The sequence below is a fragment of the Homo sapiens genome, chromosome 12 (genome assembly GCF_000001405.40).
Source record: "Homo sapiens chromosome 12, GRCh38.p14 Primary Assembly".
In the NCBI taxonomy this organism is placed as follows: Eukaryota; Metazoa; Chordata; class Mammalia; order Primates; family Hominidae; genus Homo; species Homo sapiens.
In genome coordinates this window covers 103,930,277-103,949,524 of record NC_000012.12, presented here as the reverse complement: position 1 = coordinate 103,949,524, position 19,248 = coordinate 103,930,277, and the positions used below count along the sequence as shown (strand labels likewise).

The following is a 19,248-nucleotide window of genomic DNA, read 5'->3' as shown; positions in this document are numbered from 1 at the left end:
AAAAACTTAAGACTACCATTTCAGTTGGCTGTAACAGACTAGTGAAATTAAAAATTGTTTCATAAACAAGAGTACATTTCAAAATATAGGTCAATGTGGATTTTCACTCAGTGCCAATAGTTATCTCTGGTAGGATTATGGGTGATTTTTTTCAAAGATAGCTTTTTTTTTTTTTTAAGTTTAGATTTACAGAAAAACCACATCTAGTAGAGTTCCCATATACGCCACGCTGTTTCTATGAATGTTGTCATCTTAAGCTACCATGGTACGTCAGTTAAGAAACCAGTATTGGGGTCAGGCGTGGTGTTTCATGCCTGTAATCCCAACATTTTGGGAGGCCGAGGTGGGCAGATCATTTGAGGTCAAGTTCAAGACCAGCCTGGCCAACATGGTGAAACCCCATCTCTACTAAAAATAAATTAGCCAGGCGTGGTGGCGGGTGCCTATAATCCCAGCTACTCAGGAGGCTGAGGCAGGAGAATCGCTTGAATCCAGGTGGAGGTTGCAGTGAGCCAAGATCGTACCACTGCACTCCAGCCTAGGAGACAGTGACACCGTCTCAAAACAAAACCCAATATTGGTACAATACTCTCAACTGTACTCTAGACTCCGGACTTTAGATTTCACGTTTTTCCATTTAACATCCTTTTGTTTCCAGGGTACCACATTGCATTTATTAATAGTTGTCATGTATCTTTAGTCTTCTGCCGTCCATGGTTACTTCTCAGCCTGTTTTTCTGAGAAAAATTTTCTGGAAATTTTGAAGAATACTGTTCACATATTCTAAATATGTCTGTTTTTCTCATTAGATTGAGATTACAGGTTTTTGGAAACCACAGCAGTACAATTCACTTCACATCCTATCGGGGGTACACATCACTGGTGATATTAACATTGATCACTTGGTTAAGTCTGCCAGGTTTCTCCACTGCAAAGTTACTTTTTCCCTTTCCATACTCTGTTCTTTAGGAGTCACTTAATCTAGCCCACATTCAAAAAGGAGAAGATTAAGCTCCACCCTATGAAAGGGGGAATATCTACATATATTTGGAAATCTTTAAGGAAATTCTCTCTTCTCCCTGTGGAAGACTTTTTAAACTCTTTGGTTTTTCAACAGTCCCAAGCTCCTGAGTTCAAATAATCCTCCTGCCTCAGCTTCCTCAGGAGTTGGGACCACAGGTGTGTGTCACCATGACTGGCTCAACCTTTGATTTTTTAAAAAAATCTTTTCTTGGGAGGCGGAGGTGGGTGGATCACGAGGTCAGGAGTTCAAAGACCAGCCTGGCCAAGATGGTGAAACCCTGTCTCTACTAAAAATACAAAAAATTAGCCGGGTGTGGTGACGGGCACCTGTAATCCCAGCTACTCAGGAGGCTGAGGCAGAGAATTGCTTGAACCCGGAAGGCGGAGGTTGCAGTGAGCAGAGATTGCGCCACCACACTCCAGCCTGGGCAAAAGTGAGACTTGGTCTCAAAAAAAAAAAAGGTCATAAGCCTGAGTCACTTTTCTAAGAAAAAGAACCCAAGACACATGATTAAAAAAAAAAAAAATTCAGCCAAGTATTAGGTAGTTCTCTGCAAGACAGTCAAGACACTGAGTATTTGGGATCTTTTTTATTTTTATACACATGACAAGATTTTACATCAAGAATAGTCAGTTAAATAGTACAAATTTACATTCATGAGGAATGTTAAAAAAAATTCAACTAAAAAACCCACTTTTTCCTGTGACCCATAATCCCACATTTTACAGTGCAGGGGAGAAGGGGATTAGGGGGCATCCAAAACAAGTCTCTCCCAAAAAGAAATGATGTAAATTTCACATTCCCTCTCCACACAGGATCCAAATGGTGAGAGTATAATTTACAATTCATCTTTTTCAGCTGTAGATTCCTGTAAATAAATAAAAAAAACCCAGAAGGTATTAAAAGTTAGCAGAAAAAAAACCTAGCTCACAGGTTTGTGCATGAAATAAACAATTTAAATGCTCAGTCTGACTTCTGTAAGTTACACAGTCTTAACTTTGCCAGAACTAAAACTCTGTCCTAACTTTGCCAGAACTGAAAATGCAAGTCACATTCTTGATTTGCCATACCTTTGCTGTTTCTTCTTCTTCATCTGTTCCCACATCCATTTCTTCATCTTCGTCTTGCTCTGTGTCTTCTGTTGTGTCTTCTGCTGTCTCTTCAGGTTCTTCTTCGGGCTCTTCTTCCACCTAAACACAACATTTATGGGCCCATTAATGCCTTGGATTTATTTCCACTTTGCTCATTTATATGTATAAAATCATAATTAATGTCACTTCTGTTTATTCAGAACCACAGACTAAATCCTCTTAACTAGAATGAACAGCCAAGCTAACAAAAGGAGGCAGGCAAAAAGGAAAGAGGACGTAAAAGGAGGACTTAGTTTCTAGTGCAGTGCCTGACACTACAGGGATTCAAACATTCAATAAAATTCTTTCAAAAGGTAGAAATTAGGCAAATGTCGCAAAGCTACATCCCTCAATCATGAGAGGCCTATTCTGAAAGAACAGAAACAAAGAAAGCCAGCCAGCCTTTGCGGGAAGGTTGGGGATACAAACCTTTGCATCAGGGTCAATGTTCAAACTGAGGCGAAGCATTCTTTCTATTCTATCTCCATATGCTTTAGTGTCTGGTAAAAGATACCCTGACCGAAGCGTTGCTGTTTCAAACAAAACCACAGCAAGATCCAAAACTGTTTTATCATCTTCATCTTCCTGAAATGCAAGAAGATGCACTAGATTAATATTAAAAGATACAAAGTACTCAAATTAAAAGACAAGCAAGAGGACTGCTTTAATACTACCTTAATTCGTCGAAGCATGTCTCTGATCAGCGGGTGTCTGGGATTAATTTCAAATGTTTTCTTCTGACTCGCATAGTAACTGTTAAGAGATAAAAATGAACATTAACAAAACATATCCAATTTTAGGGTTCATACGTTTCCCTTATTCTTTCATAATTACACAGAACAACTCTTGGTAAAAAAAAAAAATCAAAATGTACTATTGACACTTGAACACCACAGGTTTGAACTTATATGCTATTTTTTTTCCAATAAATACAGTCCGCCCTCCGTATGTGCAGGTTCAGCAACCAAACTCAGATAGAAAATACCGTATTCTTGGGATGTGGAATCCACACACACAGAGCTCCCACTCTTCATATACACGGGTTCCACAGGGCAGACTGGGGGACTAGAATATTTGTGGATTTTGGCAGGGGTCCTAGAACCAATCTCCCTCATACACCTAAGGACGACTGTACTTTTCCAGTCTACTTTATCTGCAGAGTCAATCAACCTCGGATTGAAAATATTAGAAAGGGCAAAACAAGAAAAAAATAAAAAACCCAATACAGTATAATAGCTATTTACATAGCACTTAAATTGCATTAGGTATTAAAAGTAATCTATAGATTATTTAAAGTACATGGGAAGATGTGCATAGGTTATATGCAAATACGGCACGACTTTACCTAAGGGACTTGACTATGTGTGGATTTTGGTATCCATGGGATGTTCTGGAACCAACACCCCATGGACAAAAAGGGATGACTGCACTGTTTCCTTATTTAGTTTTTATAGAGACAGGGTATCACTATATTGCACAGGCTAGTCTTGAACTCTTGGCCTCAAGTGATCCTCTCACCTCAGCCTCCCAAAGTGTTGAGATTACACACGTGAGCCATGTGCCCAGCCTGTATTGCTCCCTTTTAACGGGGAGGTGGGGTGGGGAGCAAGTGGACACGGTTAGATGAAAAATGAAATGAAGGGAACTATTTTATTTACTGATGAGTCCCAAGTACCTGGAGCACTGCTGAACAGACGAACTGATTTAATGTCCTGTTTGTTCCCTCTTAGTTTATTCTTACTACCGTAATTGTAGCTCTGCCTCCCCAAGTTCAGAAAAATCTATGTAGCCTCTGGATTGTGCTCCAATAATAATACCTTCTCCACGATGCCTTCGCCAATGATTCCAAGAAAAATTAACTTTATCTGAGCTCAGTTCCAAATGCATTTTGAATATACCTTCAAAATCCTTAGCTTTTTACTGTTGGTTGTGATTATTCTCTCTTCTCTAGTTTAAAGCTCTGAGGACAGGGAGGAACCACATCCTTCCCTATCCTGGTGTACCCATTATCTATGTAGGGCTCGGATTATGACTTGCTTTTTTTCCTCTTTTTTAAATAAAAAAGAGACGGAGTCTGGCTATGTTACCCAGGCTAGAGCTAGAGTGCAATGCCATTACAGCACACTACAGCCTCGAACTCTTGGAATCAACTGATACTCCTGCATCAGCCTCCTGAGTGACAACAGGAGTGAGTCACCATGCCTGGCTTTGATTTGTCATTTTCACTAGTCTAAATGTTAGAAAAGACAGGAGTTATGTCTACCTGTGACCATCAGTGCATGGACATAGTAAGTCTTCATGTTTGTTGGATGCAAGGTAACTTCCTATTAATCATTTCCTGAAATTAATAGGTGGACATGTTTTAAATGGCCCTTGTACTATTGCAATGGGATATCAGATAAACAGAACACTATTCTCTGCATGAAATTTATAGTTAAAAGACATATATGGAATTTTAGAATTGTGACAACAATGGAGACTACATTTGTGAGAAAAGGCTTTAAGAATAATAATCCTGGCCAGGCGCAGTGGCCCACGCCTGTAATCCCAGCACTTTGGGAGGCCGCAGAGGGCGGATCATGAGGTCAGGAGTTCGAGACCAGCCTGGCCAACATGGTGAAACACCGTCTCTACTAAAAATACAAAAATTAGCGGGTGTGCTGACAGGTGCCTGTAATCCCAGCTACTCAGGAGGCTAAGACAGGAGAATTACTTGAACCCAGGAGGCGGAGGTTGCAGTGAGCAGAGATTGCGCCACTGTACTCCAGCCTGGGTGACAGAGCAAGACTCTGTCTCGGGGGAAAAAAAAAAAGAATCCTTAAGCTAGGCCTTGGGAAAAAAGGATGATGACTAGATAGCATATCAGAAACATACTCCAGGTGAAAGAAGAGAGAATAAAAGTAGGGGAGAAGTCATTTTCAAGATCATTGCTGTGACATTAAAACATAAACTTGAAATACTATATTTCTTGAAAATAAAGAGTACCAAAGACTCACTATACCTCCAGGTATAGGCCCTTGAGTTCAAATACTGTTAATTCACAGGTCCTGTACCGTCTACTTTATGAGACATTCTATCTGGATACCCATAATTTAATGCTTGGGGGTGTGGGGGACGTGATTTGAAATGGACTTAACTCACTTGAGGAATGTTGTCATTAACCTCGTGCAGCTATTACATTTAAAAATGTAAAATAAATTCAGATATTAGGCTAAGCATATAATCCAATGCAAAAGTAAAGACTATGCATAACACATTAAGAAAATTCCCATTTACATATCAAATACAATAAAATCAGAAAATCATGAGTCAAAGACCTTTTCTTTCTCAATCAAATGTAGGAGAAATCCCTTCGTAAACTTGTTGTCTACCTTATAGTAGACAGTGGTAGACATTTAAGGCAATTTTACTCTTTGTATTGAAGCTGGTATTATCTCCAAAACAAAGATTGGGTAAGGGGCAACGCCCTGGCAGGGACTTTCCCGAGGATGCTTACTTTGTAGAGATGTCCTTGCCCGTTTGGTACGCTTGTGCTTTCATGATTCTCTCCATGTTGCCAGACCATCCGTACTGGCTGGCCACCAAAGCACACGGAGATTCTGTCAGGCGCTGAGACACCACAGCCTTTTCAATCTTAGGGAAAGAAATCAAGTCATATAAATTAATATCAACAGGTAAGGTCATTGAGCAATTGTCTTTCAACTGTCTAAGACTTTATCACTTAAGATCATAAACACAGAAGCAGGTCATAAAAATAGCTTTTCTTAAGGTTTAGGAGAATTTGTAGGGGCACTTACTTGATAATCTGAATTTTCTAGTCAGAAGTTTAAATACCACCTTTTAAAAACATAAAATTTAATTTGTAACAAGTTATTAACAAAGCAGTATTGTCGAAAGTTTTAAGCTTTCTCCCAATAATTTAATTACATTAATTAAATTTTTACCATTCTAATGGTTACAAAGTAACCAGCTGCAGCTTAATTTGTTCACAAAATAACTTTCTCTTAAATGCTGATACTAATATTTCCACAATTTGTAATTTCCACAGTACCTTGTCCTTAAGGGCTTTATCTTTCATCCAATTCAGCAGAGGCTCAAATTCTTTCTCAACTGCTTCACGACTCTCCTTAGTTTTCTCACTTTCATCGAACTTCACTCCTTCCTTGGCAACATTCTGGAACCTCTTCCCATCAAATTCGGGAAGGGCCTGAATACAGTATTCATCCACAGGTTCTGTGAGGTAAATAACTTCATAGCCCTTTTTCAGAAGTCGCTCAACAAATGGAGAAGATTCAGCCTACAAAATTAAGAAGTCACAAAGTTTTCCAAGTCTGGCCCTGGTGTATTTGTTTATCCTAGCAGCTGCTATGTTTATACATTATTAAAAACTCCATTTTACAGGTGAAGAATTAAGAGGTTCAGAGAATATAAATGACCTTCCTGTCAGTGACTGACCAGGCCTTATAACTACTCCAGTTACACAATTAAGTTTTCCTTTTCTCCCCCTCAAGAGTTGGCTATAAATCCCTAGCTACCTTCCAGAATGGCTGACAACACTTATGAGTTCATCTCACCTCTTTTCTGCTGGACCCAGCCATGAAGTAGATTTTGTCTTGTTTTTCCTTCATTCTTTCCACATACTGGTCTAGGCTAGTAATGTCAGTTGGATGATGAGAAGACTGGAACCTAAGAAGTTTAGCAAGACGTGTTCGATTCGAGTGGTCTTCAATCACACCAAGCTTGATGTTGGTACCAAATTCTTTCCAAAAAGTATCATTGTATTTATCATCAGCAATCTTCTTGATCATGTCCAGCGTTTTACGAACAAGCTTCTTCCTAATCACCTAAACACAATGAAAGAATAACTGATTAGAGAAGTTAATCTCCAACTTTTGAGAATGTAAGGTACCCAGGCAGGAGTGTGAAAAACACAAAGACGATATCGTTATTGCCATTTATTGAGGGGCAGGAAATGGTGAAGCACTCCAATTCATTCAGATTGGGCTGAAATTCAGCTGTCCGTGCAAATAGCCACAAGATTGCCTTAATGTTTATATTCTAACCTTAGGACTCAGTGATACTCTCTCTCTAGCATCTAAATGAAGTGAACAAATATGCTACTTTCAAATACTTTTAAATTCAAAAACTAAAGAGTCTTCTAATTATGGAAGTATTGGAGGGGAAAGGTTTAATGAAAGGCTTGATAAAAAGGTGGCTATGTGTCTAGATGACAAAATGTTAATCCTGGACCTGTACAATTCTTTAATTTTTTTCTAGATGTTTGAAACTTCATTATTAAATGTTGGGAGAAAAAGAATCAGATTCTTAGGATCTGATAACTCCAGAAAGAAAGGAAATTCATCTGAAGAATCATGGACCAGACCCAAAATCTGGTTTTACTCCACAAATGGAGCCTGTCCTCTGAACCCCAATCAAACAGCAAAGTGGAGAGTTTCTTCCCAGAGACACTTACCTTAAGCAGTTTATGTTGCTGAAGAGTCTCGCGGGAAACATTCAAGGGGAGATCATCTGAGTCCACCTTCAGATGGCAAAAGAAAGTTCAGTGAGCAATAAAACCACTGGAAGAAAGCAAAGCCAAACAAACACTCTACACTGCCAGACCCCCACAACAATCACCCCTTCTCCCAAACTTCAGATACTTACCACACCCTTGACAAAATTGAGGTATTTAGGCATCATATCATGGAAGTCGTCTGTGATGAATACACGGCGCACATAGAGCTAAAGAGACCAAAAAAAAGTCACTTTCTGGAAATTAAACTTTCAAATTTTAAACGCAGCATGTACTACTTAAAAACTCACCTTAATGTAATCGCTCTTTTTAGATCCATATTCGTCAAACAGACCACGTGGAGCAGATGTGGGTACAAATAAAATTGATTTGAAGGTAACTTCCCCTTCAGCAGTAAAGTGAATATAAGCCATGGGGTCATCACTTTCCTGTGGAAAGTTGGTATCTTAGTCATTCAAACGACACAGGAGAAAAGCAGTGCAAGAACTAAGCAATGTACTATGTGGTACATATTCAGTTTAGCAATTAACTAACAAAAAATTTTCCTTTACTGGCGGGAGGTGGGGAAGAGAAAGAAAAGGGTGGGGGGAAGAGAAAGAAAAGGGTGGAGTGAAGAAATATCTAGAATTGCAATTCTAATTCACTAGACATGGTTGTTTTGATGATGATTGTCAATAACATTATTTCCTAAACTCTCAGAAGGAAGGATGAGTTTATACTTCTTACGTATGAGAGAAGTGAATAGGAAAACCACCACCCTGCCTAAATGACAAAATTACATACAACACTTCAGTGTGCCCTTGAACTACAGTAAGTACTCAAGAACATGTTTCTTCCATGGAACTTAGCTCTAAGAGTGGCTACAAAGATGTATGTAAATACCTGTAAAACAAAGTTGGAAATTCTCTTGATCTGCATTATCTATTACTGTATATGGCTGTTAAGCACTGAAATGTAGCTAGTTCAAATTCAGATGTGCTATTAAAGTGTAAAATACATTTTGAAGGCACAGTACAAATTTTAAAAAGGATATAAAATGTCTCATTATTAGTTTTTATATTGATTATGTTGAAATAATACTATTTGGGGTATGCTGGGTTAAATAAATTATACTATTAACATTTCATGGTTCCTTTTTTTGTATGGCTTCTAAAAAATTTCAAATCATGTGTGGCTCACATTAATTATATTTCTAATACAGCTGCTTTATATGAAGTAAGTTTATAGACACTAGGACTTTAGAGTTTATGGAAATAAAAGTGAAGGCAGAACCAACAGTGTTTTAAGAGTTGAAATTTAAAGGATATGGAATAGAGAAAAGAACAAATACAGACACAGAATATTAAGTTTTATTTAGCTATGGTTAAGTCCACTAGAGCATTCTACTGCTTGTACTAAATGCTGCTGGGGAAACATTAACTTTAAACAAACTTTATCAATGCTAGTTTTGCATCCTTAAGAGTTACAAGAAGGGATCAATAAAAGAAGAAGAAAAAAAAAAACAGGCAAGGAAACATAAATTTAGTAATTATTCCCAGGCATAGGATCTCACAATAAGTGTTTGATGTCATAAGCAAGCTCTTTAAAGATTATATTAAAAGCCACTTAACAACATGATTTCATGTTTTACGGGTTTTGTGGTGGAAATCACACATCTACCTATGTAGGTGGTTCTTAATCTTTTTTTGTCACACAAAACCCTTGGCAAGCTGGTGAAGGCTACAGATGCCTTCTCAAAATAATTTTTTTAAAAAAATCACATATTACAAAATACACAGGAATAAAAAGGAAACCAATTGTGTTTAAACAGCCATAAAACTGTTTCAAACATTCTTGATTTTGTAGTTTCACTATTCACTAAGAGCTAGGACTAATTTTAATAACTGCTGCAATTTTGAAGTAGTGATGAGTATAATAATTCAACTTAAGTAAAAATGGTGTGTTCTGGAAACCAATTACTCTCAAAGACCATCTCTACTGAGGTGTCAATCTCAAAGGTTCATAAATGTGATTTTAATTGTGACTAGGTCAATAAACCAGAAGTAGACATATTATAGTTGGCCTAAAGGTCTTTTTTTGAATTTTCTCACTGGGAAAAAATGGGAATGGACCATCTCATATTCATGGTCACATACCATATACAATTAAACTAAGAGGGTGATATTTTGTCTATTCATTAATAACCAGAAACTAGGGAATTATAAATATTTACCTTTGAAAATGATTTGTAGAAAGCTTTGTATTCATCTTCTTCTACTTCTTTTGATGGTCTCTGCCATATTGGTTTGATATCATTCATAAGTTCCCAGTCCCAGACAGTTTTTTCAACCTGAAGTTATTATAGTATTTGATTAGTCTCTCTCAGCACTCACCAAGGTTATCCTAGCAGTAACCATGGCTTCAGTAGATTTCAAAAGACTATGTAAAGACCCAGAGGACTGGTGTGGTGGCTCACGCCTGTAATCCTAGCACTTTGGGAGGTTAGGGTAGGAGAACTGTTTGAGCCTAGGAGTTCAAGACCAGTCCAGGCAACATAGCAAGACCTCCAACTATACAAAAAATTTTTAAAACTTAGCCAGTCATGGTGGCGTGTGTCTGTGGTCCTAGCTACTTGGGAGGCTGAGGTGAAAGGACTGCTTAAGCCTAGGAGTTCAAGGATGAAGGGAGCTATGATCGTGCTACCACACTCCAGCCTGGGTGGCAGAGACTCTGTCTCCAAATTAAAGAAAAAAAAAAAAAGGGCACCAAAGGATACCTGTTATCTAGTAAGGTTTCTGCCAACTGTATCAAAAGCAAAGTATTTTTCTCAATATTTAATTCAAAAAGACAATTGTTAACTGATGAAAAGCCACTTAAGTTTTTCTTCATTGTTATTTTTTAACTAGCAAAAATGTTTCTTGAAAATATTTGTTTTGAGGTTAGAAGGAAATACATATTATATATTCCCATTTCATGACTTAAAGAAATCCAACATTTTACAAAAATATTTCTCAACCACCATGATCAATACTTCTTAGTCTGCTACCTAAGCAAGCCAGAGAACCATTTTTATGGTTAATCTCTGCATGATAAAAAGACAAAAGAGGACTCAGAAGGCTTTTTAAGATTTTAAAATTCCAAACATATAAGCCACCAGTCCTAGGCAATATATAAAAGTTAGAAAACTCTTCATAAAAATGACCTGGGTTTGATACTTAAAACTTTCTACAGGACAATGTATTCAACATACAAACAAAGGCCTTATTTTAAAAGCTGGCTCCATGGACTTAGCACCTGAACTGAAGCTGACTTCAAATCAGCCAGTGCATACTTAGGTTTTCCTGGTTTTGCCTATACATGTTAAACAATATCTTATGCAGGGAGATAAACCAGACTTACTTTTTTAGTCTTTGGTTTCTTTTCTTCTTCTTCTTCCTCTACTGCAGCTTCATCATCAGATTCTTCTTTCTCTTCTTTGGCTGCTTCTTCTTCCTCCATGGGCTCCTCAACAGTTTCAGTCTGTTGAAATAAGAGAATTATGGTTAAACTCATTTGTTTAACAATTCTGATTTTGTCTACAGAATATGATATAACATTACAGGTCAAAAAATAGGTTTTTGTAAGAAAACCCTGAGAGTATCCTTAACTAATAGACCACATTTTGCCTTCATTCTTTTTTTTTTTTTTTGAGACAGAGTCTTGCTTTGTCACCTAGGCTGGAGTGCAGTGGGGCGATCTTGGCTCACTGCAACCTCCGTCTCCCGGGTTCAAGCAATTCTCCTGCTTCAGCCTCCCGAGTAGCTGGGATTACAGGCGTGTGCTACCACACACCCAGCTAACATTTTTGTATTTTTAGTAGAGACAGGGTTTCGCCATGTTGGCCAGGCTGGTCTCGAACTCCTGACCTCAGGTGATCCACCTGTCTCGGCCTCCCAAAGTGCGGGGATTACAAGCATGAGCCACCGCGCCGGCCTGCCTTCATTCTTTTAGTGTTGAATATTTAAATACGTGCCAAGGTAATACATATAAGTTTTTAATCAATATAGATTTACCTTGCTGCTCCATACATAAATAGGAAAGTTTATGAACTGTGAATATTTTTTGACGAGATTTTTAATTGTATCCAATTCAAGGTAATCAGATGCTTCTTCTTTTAAGACAAGGCTGCAAGAAAAATTCGATGTTTAGAGACACCTAACATTTAGAAGATCTGATTATAAATTCATTTAAATACCATGGTAATAGCCAGCAGTTCAGTATAATCCAAGATGTCCTAATTATTCATGTTAACTCTCCATCACCAACAAGGGTTTGTGAGCTAAAATGTAACACATGTAGATACAGTAAAGAGAAGAATCTCCTCTACATTACCTCAAGTGGAGAATAACCTTAGTTTTAAGTAGAAAATTAAAATATTCCCAACCGTCTGAATAGATTGTTTTCATTTTTCAAGGTGAGAAAGCACTGAAATATTCTGGAGAGAAATGGAATCATGCACTCTCATAGCTCTTACTGTTATTCCAGAAACCTAATGATTATTGTAGATAACTATTCCTAATTAATGAAAACATTTTCCTTAAAAAAGCTAGAAAATTAATCTGGTTTATATTTATATCTGCACTATCCAAAATGGCAGCCACTGGGCACATGTGACTTATTTAAATAAAATGTACAGTTCAGTTCCAGTTATGCTGCCACATTCCAAGTACTCAACAGTCACATGTGGCTGGTGATCGCCAAAATGGAAAAGTGCAGATATAGAACATTTCTACTATTATATAAAATTCTACCGGGCAGTGCGGGGATTACAGGTGTGAGCCACTGTGCCCGGCCTAGAACCTACTCTTAAGCACAGTAGGTAGTCCATATCTTGATACTTGTGTTCCCAATTAAGTATGGGAAATGGTCTATCTATGGTTCCCTCCCTGTCTCAAAAGGCTCATTAGTTTAGTGGTACCTGGCCAATAAGTAGCCATGATATGACAAAGCCTAGTGAGTGACTAGGCCCCTGGTCTCAGAGCACATGTTCTAGTGATTTGGGGATTAAGAGTTCAGTTTTGGATGCAAGTAGAAGCTGCTGGTTAGATATCTTAGGTAGAAGCATTTAAAAGGCAATTAAACACATGAACACAGAGCCCAGTAGTGAGACCTAGACAAGGGGCTGGCAAGCTATAGCTGTACAGCTGGCACCCATTAGAAATTTTATTGGGACACTTTTTTTTTTTTTTTTTTTTTTGGACCTCTGTCACCCAGGCGTGATGATGGCTCACTGCAGCCTTGACCTGCCAGGCTCAAGCAATCCTCCTACCTCAGCCTCCTGAGTAGCTGGGACTACAGGCATGCACCACTGTGCCAAGCTAATTTTTTATTTTTTATTTTTGTGGAGATGGGATCCCATTATGTTGTCCAGGCTGACCTCAAACTCCTGGGTTCAAGTGATCCTCCCACCTCAGCCTCCCGAGGTGCTGGGATTATAGGGATGAGCCACCACACTTGGCTGGGACACATCCTTATGTATTGTCTATGCCTGCTTTCAAGCTAAACAGAGTTGGGACATGTGACAGACCATATAGCTCACAAGCTAAAAATATTTACTAGCTGGCTCTTTCTTTCTTGTTGTTTTCTTTTATCTTTTTTTCTACTAGCTGGCTCTTTTAAGAAAAAGTTTGCTAACTCCTGATCTAGGCTAAGAATATAAATTTGAGAACTAGAGATGGAACCTGAGGCCGTGGCAGTGGATAAGACTACATAAAGATCACATGGACAATGAGAAAAGGGCTGAAACTTAACTTGGAGAAAATGTATGTTAACATTTAAGAAGTGGGCAAAGGAAATTTTTAAAAAGATATGCATGGTCATGGAAACTAGGTCCTGGATAGGTGTTAGCAGCCATCGTTCCCTGCATGGAACTGTCCTGTTTAACCTCACTTATTCATACAAATGGCTGCCAATTAAGTGTTAAGCTTTGGGAATGGAGCTTCCAACAAAATGTTTGCCTTCATGGAGCTTATATCCAGATAATTTCACCTGCTTCTTAGCAACCTGACATTAACATCTCTTGGGACATCACTTTCTATCTTTCCTTGGGAATGATTGCCCTATCCTTCTCCAACATCTAGCCCAGTGCTTAAAAAGAGAGGGCACTGGGGCATAACTCTTAGTGATGCCTCCAAATGAAACCTGGAGACATCAATGTTAGTGACGAAGGCAGGGGAAGGTAAATTGGGAACACAAGTTAAAAAAGTACTAAAATGCAGTCATCTAATTAGTCTTCATTAAAAGAACATCTGCTGCAGTAAAAACAGGAAATGTTACTTTCTAGGATGAAGAAAGTTGGTCACAATGATAAGTATGTGCTTCTTTCCCTTAATGTTAAGAAAACTTAAAACTGAATTAAGAAAAAAAAATTGAAGCTGTGGGCACATTCTGTTACTCACTTAGCAGGAGTTGGCAAGCCAACTGACCTCTGAAATAGAATTTCCTCATCTCCAAGATGGTAAAATTTTAAAAAGGCAAAAAGCTGCCCTGTCTACGTCACAGTGCTATAAGCAACGAGAGCTACTGTAGGGCACTGGCTCTGTCTCACCCATACAAACAACAGTTACTGGCTTAAGAGGGATCTTAATTCAAATTTAAAAACTTGTAACTATCCTTAAATGACGTATTTTATTCCACAGCTTTCACAACTTTCATGAACTTTCTTTAAGCCCTTTATCTCTACAAGCCAGCCCCAGCCCTGGTTGCTACCACTCATCTTGAATATTTTCAAGAGGAATATTTCCCCCAAAGAGTCTCCCCTTGTCCACTCCTCACATCCTCCACACCACCTTGAGAATCTTAAAAAGTTCATCACATTCTGGCTGGGCACGGTAGCTCATGCTTGTAATCCCAGCACTTTGGGAGGCCGAGGTGGGTGGATCACGTGAGGTCGGGAGTTCGAGACCAGCCTGGCCAACATGGAGACACCCCATCTCTACTAAAAATACAAAATTAGCTGGGCGTGGTGGCACATGCCTGTAATCCCAGCTACTTGGGAGGCTGAGGCAGGAGAATTGCTTGAACCCAGGAAGCGGAGGTTGTGGTGAGCCAAGATTGTGCCATTGCACTCCAGCCTGGGCAACAAGAGTGAGACTCCGTCTCAAAATAAATAAATAAATAAAAGTTCATCACATTCTATCCATAACTGCCACCGAAAAGAACTCTGTTCATCTAGTGAGCATGCTATGCCTCCATGCCTTTATTCAGGATGCTCCACAGACAAATTACTCTTCTAACCTGGGAAACTGACCAAGCAGTGCCTCCTCTGTGGGTACCCAAGAAGCCTTCTCCCTTGGGGAAGCTGCTGCTATTTCCTACTTTATACCCTCCATGTACAACAGCAATCACAAACCTTTGTGCCTGGCCCTTTGCAGGTCCTCAAACATTTCTTCAAGTGACAACAGTTCTGTTTCCTCATTTTATAAGGCAGGAAAATTAAGGCCCAGAATAAGTCATTTGCTCAGAGAATAGAACTGGAGAGTCAAGATCCTCACCATGACTATTAATTCTTATAAGGAATTGGTCATACTCACGTAATTGTCGTTCCCCGTCCTAGAGTGTTTCCTCTTGGGTCAGCAATTACAGAAAATTCATTGGAGTCAGACTCCCAGATGTGCTGGGTATCGTTGTTGTGTTTTGAAGTGACAATAACCTTATCTGCTACAAGGAAGGCGGAATAGAAACCGACACCAAACTGGCCAATCAATTCAGAAGTTGACTGGCCATCTTCCTGTGCTTCAGTCATTTTGTTTAAAAACTCGCTTGTCCCAGATTTGGCTATGGTACCAAGGTTTTTAACCAACTCTTCTCTGGTCATTCCTACACCGGTGTCTGTGACATGCAGCAGGTTCTTCTCCTTATCACACTAAATGCAAGACAAGAACCAGATAGTTGTATTTAATATTTACATTATGCCAAACAAATATTGAGGAACTAACCAGCTTTGGGTCCCATCAATTCCAATACAGAAAACTAAACTGAGATATTTTCCTCCACATAGTTTTTTATGGCCTTTTCTGAAAGTGTACATCTTAAAGTAATTTATGTATTTGAGAAAGTATTAATATCAAATGGGCAGACTGGCCTAAATGTCAAAGGTTAGAGGCTGACCTAAATAAAACAAGTTACCTTTGAAGGAAAACAATTCAAGAAAAATAAAATTTTATGTCTTGCCTATTTCTTTACTAGAATACAAAACAACTTGAATGATTCCTCTATTTGGAATCTGTGATGGATCATTAATATTCTTCACTCAATATTCCTGGCTGTCTGCCTTCCAGAAACTTAGGAGTACTCTACTTTCCATTTAAGAATGGCTAAGGCCATGTGACTAGTTTTGGCCAATGAGTTATAAATGGCCAATGAGTTGTAAAGGAGAGCTCTGTTTTCAGGCTGAGCCTTTAATTATAATAGTATGAGACCCTCTAAGCTTGCTCTGCACCATGGCAACCGGCTACACACTCCAGGTGGCTGCCCACGCCTCTGTCCCAGCCTGAGGATGAGGCAGAGCAAAGACCACAGGCAGCCTGTGATCAATGATTTAAGCCAGGGGCTGGCAAACTTTTTCTGTAAAGGGCCACACAGTAAATATTTTAGGCTTTGGGAGATTTATGTTCTCTGTTAAAACAACTTGACTCTGCTGTTGAAGCACAGAAGCAGTCACAGATAATAAACAAATGGGCATGGCTGCATTCCAATAAAACTACTTAGAAAAACAAGTCAAGTTAGATTTGGCCATAGTTTGATGACTTTCAAGCCACTGAGACTTGGGGTTTTTTTGCCACTGCAAAATAATCTAGCCTATCTTGACTGATAGGGATCCTCTACCTTTAAGGATTCCTTTTCCTTTAAAAGAAAGAAAAACTGCCTTACACTTACCTTAATTTTGACTGTTAGTTCCTCATTTCCAGAAAGAGCATTTTCATCAGTCAGTGATATTAGCCTTATCTTATCTAAAGCATCAGAAGCATTTGAAATCAGTTCTCTCAGGAAAATCTAAATGGAAGCCAGAGGGAATACACTTAGACTATCCTCAAGATGCATTAAGATATTCGATTTTATGCCAAACCCATTTATTTCTTCTCTGTACCTTATAAAAGCACTCTTATTCACCTAACAGTGATCTTCAGGTATGCAATGCAAGAAGTTTAGTTTATGTGACTGCCCTTAGACTCACAACTATTATCAGGCCGTGAACCTATTTAGAGGTAAAGGAAAAGGAAAATGTCTGACACTCCCTTTCTTCCCAGATATCTGGTAGCAATTCTTGGACATATTAGGTATTTAAAGGTTGTTACCTACTTACTTGGATACTACATTACTTTTGCAGTAAATTAAGCAAATTTAAGTAAACAAGTATGCCACCATACAGAGATAAAATATTCTAACCACATGTTGCTTACCTCTTTATTTTTATACAATGAATTGATGATAAGTTTCATCATTCTGTTAACTTCGGCTTGGAAGGCAAACTTTTCCGACTTCTCTCTAAGTTCTCTTATTTGTGATGCATTTAATCCATCCAACTGAATAGCTTCTTCCTCTCTAAGGAAATCAGTTAGGTAAGCAAATATTGCATGGCATAGTTCCCTTCAAAACTAGAGGAATTATGATGAAAGCACAGGGGCCTCTGAATATTGTCTTGGGGGTTAAAATGGAAACCTTTATAAAATATAACTGATATACCGTCTCATTATGTTAGCACAGCAGTAGGCTACCTTTAACATTACACTGGAAATACTCGGTTCTTAAAATTGCCAGAAAAAAAAAAATCCCAACTTTCCTCTACTAAAAAGCAAAGTCATACTCATTTATGCTCCACAGTGAGGACTTCAAAACTGTCAATAAGTCCCAAGAGGCCAAATTTTAAAATATTGTTCAACTGACAGAAATCCCATTTTTAAACTTACTCGGTGTACACAGTTAATGAATACAAATCCAACTGAAAGTATCTTCTATAAAGTCTTACAAAGTTTATGGTGCTAGTATTCTGCAATATAGTTTTCAAAGGAATTCACTCAGTTTTCATCACTCCTAGGGACAAGTTAGGAGGTATGTATGCACACAACTCACCGGGTATTTAAATACAGGGTGTTAGACTTTATCTGGACCTTTGGAGAAGAGATACATAAGAAGTGACCGTAACTCACAAGGTTCACACGGCTTATCTGTATACGTAAGTTCAAATGAACACAAACCTCTGTACTACTTCATCATCCGTCCTTGATCCTTCTCTACTTTTACCCAGATCCTCTTCTACTGTACCATCCACATCAACTTCATCGTCAGCTCTGACCGACCCTGAAGATTTAACACGGGCAAACTCTTCAACATCACACTTCTCCAAGGAGGATGATCAAATAGGGAAGGGTAGGGGTTGCAAAATTCAGTTGGTAACTAAGGGAGGTGGGGATGAAAGAGTGCATTCCCTGGTTTAAATACCAAAGGTAAAGCCAAGACAGAACATCTATTTAAGTTCAGATGCTGAAGTCTCCAGTAGATCCTGAAATACGGAGGCAGTCACCACTTCTAAACAGTGTGTCTCCGATCATTTATAAATAACGTTAAGCAGACTGATACCAGGCCTCTTCTACACCCACACGTGTTGCGCGCAGGCCGAGCCAAGGCCTCCCAACTGATCAAGCCAAAACTTCGGCCTTCGTTAGCACAGGTCAGAATGCAAATAGGATTTATGCAACCTCTGGCGAGGGGAACTGAAATTGAGCCCAGAGGCATGAGAAGGGGGAGAAATGTTAAGAACCGAACTCCAGCAAAACTGAATCAAACACGCTGACACTGCCATTCCGCTGGCCCCAGGCCTCACGCTCCCGAGGCCAGCATCTAAGAAGGGACACGGGCTTGCGAGGAGTCGGAGTCTGGGGAATTAGGGGACGGGAAAGCTGGGATGGCCGAAGGTTGCGGTGGCCGAAAAAGTCCTCCGGGCGGGGAGGGGGGAGGGACTCGCACAGCTCCCGGGGGAGCCAGAGCCTCAGAGAGGCCCCACCCCGAGGTCGCTGAGACCTCCGGGCGAGATACTATTAGATCTGTAGGGCAGTTAGATGATGTTGCTCTCTTTTTTTATTTCCAGAGGAAGAAGAGAATAAACGTAATTCCCTTGCCCTCTTTCGAGGAATGGTGACGTCCCTTGGCCCACCGCAGGCCCCGGGATCCCCCCTCCCACGTTCAACGCCCCCAGGACCTTCGAGAAGCGGCCGCGTGTGTGGAGGGGGGACGTCTGCTCCTCCAGAATCACTCACCGAAGGTCAGCAGGACGCAGCAGAGGCCCAGCACCCACAGGGCCCTCATGGCGTGCGGCCGGTGAGTCTCAAGTCCCCTTCGATCGCAGGAGCCGCCTCCACCCCCCACCCCTGGGTTCGGATCCTCACACCTCCAGCCGCGCGGTCCGCCCACTACACCGCAAGCAGGTCGGGCCGCTTTTCACCCCCACTTCCCGCGGGCGGGGGACGGGAAACATGAACCCACCAATCGCGCCGCACCACGCACCCACGGCACCCAATGAGGATTCGTGAGGGGGGGCGGAAGTC

The 19,248-nt window shown here is 39.8% G+C and overlaps 1 protein-coding gene and 1 non-coding gene across 2 annotated transcripts, besides 2 other annotated features; both read right to left on the bottom strand.

The window, feature by feature from the left end:
- Positions 1–1,598: 1,598 nt before the first annotated feature.
- HSP90B1 (heat shock protein 90 beta family member 1) lies at positions 1,599–19,115 on the bottom strand. The gene is made up of 18 exons (NM_003299.3): positions 18,961–19,115; positions 17,902–18,004; positions 17,107–17,248; positions 16,583–16,699; positions 15,238–15,569; positions 11,719–11,830; positions 11,066–11,185; positions 9,900–10,016; positions 7,978–8,115; positions 7,819–7,896; positions 7,628–7,693; positions 6,729–6,998; positions 6,206–6,451; positions 5,651–5,787; positions 2,829–2,907; positions 2,584–2,739; positions 2,095–2,214; positions 1,599–1,892 (listed from the first exon to the last, which is right to left on the bottom strand). The coding sequence occupies exons 1-18, from the start codon at positions 19,007–19,009 to the stop codon at positions 1,863–1,865; spliced, it is 2,412 nt and encodes an 803-aa protein (NP_003290.1). The 5' UTR covers positions 19,010–19,115; the 3' UTR covers positions 1,599–1,862.
- Positions 12,062–12,231: an enhancer, noted in NCBI's record as "experimental_23591 CRE fragment used in MPRA reporter constructs". NCBI's record gives its function as "activates a minimal promoter by MPRAs in K562 erythroleukemia cells, with activity observed for both the introgressed and non-introgressed 12:104331157 variant alleles {active_cell/tissue: K562}" and the evidence as "EXISTENCE:reporter gene assay evidence [ECO:0000049][PMID:34662402]".
- Positions 13,786–13,955: an enhancer, noted in NCBI's record as "experimental_23584 CRE fragment used in MPRA reporter constructs". NCBI's record gives its function as "activates a minimal promoter by MPRAs in K562 erythroleukemia cells, with activity observed for the introgressed 12:104329433 variant allele {active_cell/tissue: K562}" and the evidence as "EXISTENCE:reporter gene assay evidence [ECO:0000049][PMID:34662402]".
- MIR3652 (microRNA 3652) lies at positions 18,970–19,100 on the bottom strand. Its single transcript, NR_037425.1, has one exon. It is a non-coding gene; the product is annotated as a microRNA 3652 (primary transcript).
- Positions 19,116–19,248: the final 133 nt, after the last annotated feature.